General features: G+C 48.0%; 1 protein-coding gene across 1 annotated transcript in view; it reads right to left on the bottom strand.

The window, feature by feature from the left end:
• Positions 1-3,029, bottom strand: part of CNDP1 (carnosine dipeptidase 1) — a 52,713-nt gene extending 49,684 nt beyond the window's left edge. The window contains exon 1 of the mRNA NM_032649.6: positions 2,838-3,029. Coding sequence (NP_116038.4) covers positions 2,838-2,861 — 24 coding nt within the window. The 5' untranslated portion in view covers positions 2,862-3,029. The remainder of the gene's footprint in view (positions 1-2,837) is intronic.

Below are 8,140 nucleotides of genomic sequence, written 5' to 3'. Positions count from 1 at the left end.
AAGAGTTTGCCCAATCTTGGGCTCAAGATCCCAAGAATAGAATTGATGACTTTCTTTTCTCTCTCAGTATTAGAAAAAGGTGATGGTAATAAGTCAGCAATAGCGACAAAAACAAGCAATGGAAAAGGACTCCCTATTCAATAAATGATGCTCGGATAACTGGCTAGCCATTAGCCATATGCAGAAGATTGAAACTGGACCCCTTCCTTACATCATATACAAAAATCAACTCAAGATGGATTAAGGACTTAAACATAAAACCCCAGACTCTAAAAACCCTGGAAGACAACCTAGGCAATACCATCCTGGACATAGGAACAGGCAAAGATTTCATGACAGAGACACCAAAAGCAATTGCAACAAAAGCAAAAATTGACAAATAGAATCTAATTAAACTTAAGAGCTTCTGCACAGTAAAAGAAACTATCAACAGAGTAAACGGACAACCTACAGAATAGGAGAAAATATTTGCAAACTATGCATCTGACCAAGATCTAATATCCAGTATCGAGGAACTTCAACAAATTTACAAGAAAAAACAAACAATCCCATTAAAAACTGGGCAAAGGACATGAACAGACACTTTTCAAAAGAAGATATACATGTGGCCAACAAGCATATGAAAAAAAGCTCAGTATCACTGATCATTAGAGAAATGCAAATCAAAACCACAATGAGATACCATCTCACATCAAACAACTGTATTAAAAAGTCAAAAAATAACAGATGCAAGTGAGGTTGCAGAGAAAAGGGAAAACTTATACGTTGTTGGTAGGAGTGTAAATTAGTTCAATTATTGTGGAAAGCAGTGTGGCAATTCCTCAAACAGCTAAAAACAGAACTACCGTTTGACCCAATAATCCCATTACTGGGTTATATGCTCAGAGGAATATAAATCATTCTACTATAAAGACACATGAATGTGAATGTTAACTGCAGCACTATTCACAATAGCAAAGACATGGAATCAACCTAAATGTCCATCAATGACAGACTGGGTAAAGAAAATGTGGTACATCTACACCATGGTGAATACTATGCAGCCATAAAAAAGAATGAGATCATGTCCTTTGCAGGAATATGGATGGAGCTGGAGGCCATCATCCTTAGCAAACTAATGCAGGAACAGAAAACCAGACACTGCATGTTCTCATTTGTAAGTGGGAGCTAAATGATGAGAACACATGGACACATAGAGGAGAACAACACACACTGGGGCCTATGGGTGGAGGACGGGAGGAGGGAGAGGATCAGCAAAAATAACTAATGAGTACTAGGCTTAATACCTGGGTGATTAAATAATCTGTACAACAAATCACCATGACACAAATTTACCTATGTAAGAAACCTGCACATGTACTGCTAAACCAAAAATAAAAGTTAAAAAAAAGTAAAAGAATAGCAAAGGGGAAAATATATAGTACAATCTCTTCCTCTCTTTCATATCAAAGGGTATTATATTGAGTCCAAAACAAAATATTTCCTTCTTTTTTGTTTCAGACAGGGTCTTACTCTGCCTCCCAGGCTGGAGTGCAGTGGCGCAACCATGGCTCACTGCAGCCTCGACCTCCCAGGTTCAAGCCATCCTCCCACCTTGGTCTCCTGAGTAGCTGAGACCACAGGCATGCTCCACCCTGCCTGGCTACTTTTAAAATTGTTTGTAGAGTCAGGGTCTCACTATGTTGCCCAGGCCAGTCTTGAACTCCTGGGCTCAGGTGATCCTCCTGCTTTGGCCTCCTAAAGTGTTGGGATTGCAGACATAAGCCACCATGCCCAGCCAGGGAAATTATTTTCTTTCATGTTGCTTTTAACTTTAATGTTTTGAATAGATACTATCATGACACAGTTTAAAGATTTTTTAAAGTAAGACAGTATTCAGTGAAATGTCCTCTTCTAACCCCCACCCCAATGCCCTGGCCAGTCATGGGTTCTTTAAAAAAAAAAAAAAGTCAGCAATGGAAAGCATGGCCAGACCACAGGGTGAGGTTCTTTCTCTCAGAGCAGTGATTTTGCAGCATGGTGTGGGAATCTCATGGTCTTGCAGGTGGGCAAAGCCCACTTCTAGAATCCGGCTGTGGTCAGGTCACCACCTGCCTGCTCACTGTGTCTCCAGCCTCGCATTTGCATGTATTTGTTTCAGTATGTCTTTTGAGAGTCTTCTACGTATCAACCTTCCACAAAATTCTGAAAATTTCTGTGTGTGTATGTGTGTGTTTGCAATGGAAATAAAAAGCGTCCATGAATTTTATCTTTCCAAGTAGTCTGGAACACAACCCCACAAAACCTCACAGCCAAAGGTACCTGCCTGCTTGTTTTCCTAGAGAGAAGCCTTCCCGCCACACCCACACTCAGGTTTGCACCTGAACCATGGAAACCTCGCCGAGAAAGGCCTGGGGTGATTTAGCCCGGTGATTAGCTCTTGCAAACTAGCCCTTAAGTCGGGAACCTGGGACCAGGACAAACAGCACACTGTCTGTTACCATTATTTAGGCAAATTCTTCCAGGAAGCAAACTCATTTTTTTTAAAGAGAAAAAGTACAGAAAAAAATTGATTTAAGAAGACTGAGTTCATGAACAATTTGAATATGAACTACTTGACAATAATGCCATTTAATTATTGTTAAGAACACACAACTACCCAAAAGCATTACTGATAAAATATAATTCCAAATACCACATTCCTCGGCCAAGACAGCACCTAAGAACACCATGAGGAGCAGCATCTGGGGCCACGCTGGGTGCCTGCCCTGCCCAACTGGGCTTAACGCACATGCTCCCGGGACAAATGGAATTCTGGCACCCAATGCACGGACTCTGATGGAGGAGGTCCTACTCACCATTCTCCCGAGTTTGGGATCCATTAGGCTGGAGTTCTGAAGCCTCTAGCAACTTTCCCAACCTCCAAAAAATGTGGCAGAGGGAGTCCCATGAAAGCCCCAAGAGGGTGACATTAAATATCTCTCTGTGCCCTGACCCACGTTGTCCCCCGGAAGGAAGACGAGGCTGGTATAGTGGAGCTATTCACATCTGGAGAACAAAGCGGCTTCGGAGGTATTCATTCAGCTCAACTGCAGAGGAAGAGACAATGCATCTCATACGCGCAGATACGGGATGAGGCAGTGGCCCCAAAGTCATGTGATGTCACTGGAAGCCAGCAGCCTGGCCCAGCCTGCGACTCCTCGGGTTCTTCTTTGGGGGCACTTGTGTGTCATCTCTGAGAGGGAGTAGGGCCCCGGCCAGCAGGCAGAGCTGAGCCAGCGGCACAGCCCCCTCAGGTGACAGCCCCCTCACATGACAGGCCCCCACACACTGTGGCTGTGGGCCCTTGTGATGGAATGTTACGGCCGAGGATTAGCTTCCTAGGGCTGTGCAGGGGCCGAGGGTAGAGTTTTCCCAGCTCTCTGAAGGTTCGCTGCAAAATCAGCTTGCAAAGGGCAGTTGAATTGGAGAAGAGGCATAACAGATTGATTTGCTCCTAGTTTTAAGTGACATGGGAGCCTTCAGAAGGAAGGACCAATCCCTAATGGGGTTGGGAAGCTGAGACACCCTCTTGAGGTTCCACAAGGAGTGGCGGCTTAGATTCTCGCGCAACAGGTTATGGGAGGAGAAAAGAGGACTTCAGCTGAGGGCAATCAGCGCTCACGAGGGAGGATTCAGTGGGCTTGAAGAGCACGCCACGGTCTTCGTTCAAGTCTGCTGGGCCCCGGAGCAGACAATGGTCTTGACAAGTCTGTCCAGCGTGTTCGGTGTCAGCCTTCCTTCCTGAGATATGGGTTCAGTTAACGAAAACTCAGGGAAGGGACTAGAGGTCATTCCTTTCTTCTTTGGTGGGTCAGACTTGAAGGAGATAAGGACACTTCAGGAACTCTGGGAGAGATGGTGGGGGTGGGGGAGCCGAGAGGCCTTGAAGTTCCTTTTCAGTTCAGCTTGAACAAAGCACCATATTTTGGGGTATTGGCTTCTGAGCCCCAACATCTGCTCTAACAAAAGTACCCTACACTGGGTGGCTTAAGCAACAGAAATCGGTCTCAATTCTGGAGACTGGAAGTCTGAGATGAAGGTATGGGCAGGGCAGGTTTCTCCTGAGGCTGAGCGGGAAGGGCGTGCTCCAGGCCTTGACCCGCGTGGCTGCTGGCCGTCCTTGGTGTCCCTTGTCTTGTACAAGCATCACCCGATCTCTGCCCTCATCTTCTTATGATGTTCTCCCTGTGTATGTGTGTGTGTCCAGATTGTCCCTTCTCATAAGGACACAGTTGTGTGTAATCAGGGGTCCATCCTATGCCCATGTGACCTTATCTAAAGATAAGTAATTCAATCTGCAATGACCCTATCTCCATAGAAGGTCACATTCTGAGGTCTTGGGGGTTAGGATGTCAACATATAAATTTTGGTGGGAAGGTCAGGGGACAGTAGAGAAAAGGAGGCAGCAGGGCACAGGCCAGAGCCTTGGGTTGAGGGGTCCCGGGGCTTTTCTGGGGGACTGGGATTCTTTTGCATCATTTCTCTCTGAATAACTCTTGCAGGGATTGGCACACTGGAGACTTACTCTAACTGTTTGCTGAATGAAAGGACAAATAATCAAATAATTTTTACCAACAAAGAAATCTCTGGAAAGGCAGAGTTGGAACTCATTATCCCTGCTAGTTAAGGCTAGCTGTGGCTATCAGGGCCGGGCCCCTCTCCCTTGCAGAGGGGCAGCGTCTCCACCAGCTGCGTCTCTGCACCTCCTCCCCATCCTCACACCCTTTCCCTGACACTTGCCAGGCCGGGCTCCTTGAGCTCCAGGCCCAGCACAGCAGCTCCCAGGAAGTGGGCCTGGCCCTTCTTCCGAAGGCCAAGTTGCTGGGATCATACTCAGAATTCCGAGGGCTGGAAAGGAAGGAGAGGGTGAGGCTGGGCCCAGGTGTGGGCTGTGATCCTAGGAGGGTGGGGGCCCTGCTGCCTGCAGTCATCAGTGGAAAACCTTGCCCCTACCCAGCCAAAGTCACCTCTGGCAAGAGCATAGCGCACGGGCGAGCCCAGGGCTTCAAAAGCCCATGTAATTCAGATCAGAGAATTCCTCTTTCTCAGCCTCTGTCAAATGCACTTTACTCTTTCCTTGCAGAAAATATGTGAGATATGAGTGTTCCTCACAATAATTTTTTTTCTAGAAAAGAGGAAAACAGAGCTGGCTCAAATATTTTGTTAGAATCCCAGCACTTTGGGAGGCTGAGGCAGGAGGATTCCTTGTCAGGAGTTGGAGACCAGCCTGGGCAACAGAGTGAGTCCCCATCTTTATAAAAATTAAAAATAAATCAATACAAATTTAAAAAATGTTTTGTTAGTTGATTACAAAAGAAGACATTTGATTCTATTACTAATATAGTTTGGAAGGAAGGAAGGAAAGACTCCAACAGATATTAGCAAGAACGGAAGCCAAACACAGGTCCAGGGGAAAGTGCTCCTACAAGAATTCCAATTATTTTGCCTTCTCAGTCTTCCATCTTCACAGATCTCCATCTCGATGCCAGTTAAATCTGGGAGACAGTGGAGAGAAGAGAGGGGAGAAAGGGAGAGAGGAGAGAGAGATGGTGGTGGAGAGAGAGAGGGGGAGACAGAGAGGGAAAGAGACAGACGAAGAAGCTACTCTGGGTTCCCTACTCCTAACACATGTGAACCTAAGCTAGGCTGTGCTTTTCAGCTTCCCAGGTTTCCATTGGAGAGTACGAGGGGCAATGCCTGGAGCTAGTTTTCCCTCTAACTTTGCTGTGTCAGAGGCCACCACCTGTGTCTGTCGGCGGAGTATGATGTACACCACGTCGGCAGAGAGAAATACATCCTAGGTCTGTGCCTGGTAAGTAAGCTCTGTGCCAATGACATGCCCCATTTACAGACCTCGCTTGGTCAAAATCCTATCACGATTCTTCAGCCAGATCCCCTAGCACCTTCCATACCTTTCATAAGGCATCATCACTCCCCAGGAGGCACTTTACTCACTTACAAGCAGTCTTCTTTTGCATCATTTCTCTCTTGATAACTGTTGCAGGGATTCGCACACTGGAAGTTACTCTGTAACTGTTGAATGAAAGGACAAATACTTTTTACCAACGAAGAAACCTCTGGAGTGGCAGAGTTGGAACTCATTATCCCAGCTAGCTGGGGCTCATGAAGGCTTCCTGAGCATGCCTGGGGCCCTTTTCCCTGCAGTGTGGCATCTTTCTGTATCTGGTGTAGCACAAGCACGTAGCGCCCTGCAGTCACACCCAGTGGAGAGAGAAATGGACCTCAGGCAGCCTGTACTCCCAGGAGGGAGGGAAAGATCTGCTACCTCAGCGGTATTCACCAGCTTCCATTTTCTCCTCTTCCTCAACCATCTAGACCAAGCTACTGCCACCAAGGATCTGTGTAATGACGCACCACGATGCCGATCAGTCTGAATCCTGCAGCACTGAAAACTTCATGCTTTGGTCTGCAAAGAGTCCTCCCTGACTCCAGGACTCAAACAGAGCCGGTGGGAACCACCTCTCCAAGTCTCCCATTTACTTCCCTGGAAAGAGGAGAAAGTAACCTACCTTCTCTGGGTTCAATGAGGCAAAGCTGGTTATTGTTATGATTAGAGATGAAAACAGACCTTTTGCCCTGTCTTGGGACATTAAAACATGTCCAAGAGGGCTCTTAAGAGATGAAGTTGACAGTAACAGCTTCCATTCAAGTTCTGGGAAAATAAATCTCCACACACACTCTCCCGTCTGTCCCTTCAACTCTCTATAACCCCACAGAAATCTAGCTTTTCCTTCTCTCTTGGAAGCTTTCCCAGAAGTGGCAAGCCCAGGTGTGGCCTGCACGCTGTGACCTTCTTGCCCTCTGGGAGCCCTGTCCGGGCAGTGGAAACAGTGTGTATCACAACCGGCGCAGGGCCGAGTACACAGTACTGGACACAGTAGGTGCACAATGAACAGGAGCTGACATGATTCCAGCTCACCCCAGACTCCCCCAGGCCTTGCCCACCTCAGTGAGATTTCACGAGCGCATCTTGGCTGCTGCTCTGCGTTGGGTACAATGGCGGAGCAAGTGCCCAAGCCCTGCCTTCAAGGAGACGGGACAAATGTAGGAAATGGCCCAGCAGCATGCAGCTAACAGTTAAGTGACTCACGTGGACAGAAGTCCTGGGTTTGAACGTGGAAGAGGACGCTTTGGGCAGATGCTGGGGCAGATGCTGGGGCAGGCGTGGGGAGCTGGAGGAGGTGAGCCTTCCTGGAGGGCAGGTGGGACTGGAGAGGTCGGGCCCTCCAGCGGGAAGCATGCTAGAATCACCTGGGAGCTTCAAAAAGGCCAGCGGCGAGGCCCACCCCCAGAGAAATCATCCGATTTCAGATGGGCAGATGAGAAACAGGGATAGGCAGAGGAAGTGGGGGCTTCTGGGTGGGGATGGGGCTGCAACAAGGGCAAGCGGGAAACCCGTCTTCTCAGAAGGGGCGCCCATTAGCAGAAAGCAAGATGCAAGATCCGAGGATTGGATGGGGCTTCGGATCTCCTGGTCTTTTCCACTCCATAGGGCGTCCAGGCCCTGACCTCCTCCGGCGTGGCTCCAGCAGCCTCACCCTGGCTGGTCTCCCGGACCCCAGGGGTTCAGGCCACAGGACCATCTCATGCGAACATCTCAGTCAAAGCCCACTCTGCGCCCTTTTGGGTGGGGTTTGGTCATGACCATCTGTTGTTCTGAGGAAATTCTGCTGTAACTAAACCACTATTTCTTTTGAGTTAGCACCTGTCTGTCGAACCAGACTCCTGTCAAAGGCCATTTGAGGAAACTCAGACTGACAGAATTCTGCATAAGTGAGTGAAAACTCCACTGTCTTACCATGTAGAGTAGTAACAGATTCTACTACACGCAGGCGCCTATGATACTGAAGAGTCATCAACGAGGAACCACCTGCCCAGGGGGCCCTGCAAGCCTGAGAGGGTCCACAGTTGCCTCCTGATTGTGCAGTGGTGAAAGGAACAGGAGGGCCGTGAGCACCATTTACCAGGACTGCTTTCTCCCCCCGTGCTGCATGCTTCCCACAGCTTTGGGGCTGATGCAGATGGTGAGTTTTCTTCAAAACATTGATAACAAAGTGTGTTCCATGGGTATTTCCTCTATCTGTTATATACACTTTAA

Source organism: Homo sapiens, chromosome 18 (assembly GCF_000001405.40).
Source record: "Homo sapiens chromosome 18, GRCh38.p14 Primary Assembly".
Classification (NCBI taxonomy): Eukaryota; Metazoa; Chordata; class Mammalia; order Primates; family Hominidae; genus Homo; species Homo sapiens.
The sequence above is the reverse complement of the archived record's forward strand: the minus strand, read 5'-3'. Positions and strand labels throughout refer to the sequence as shown.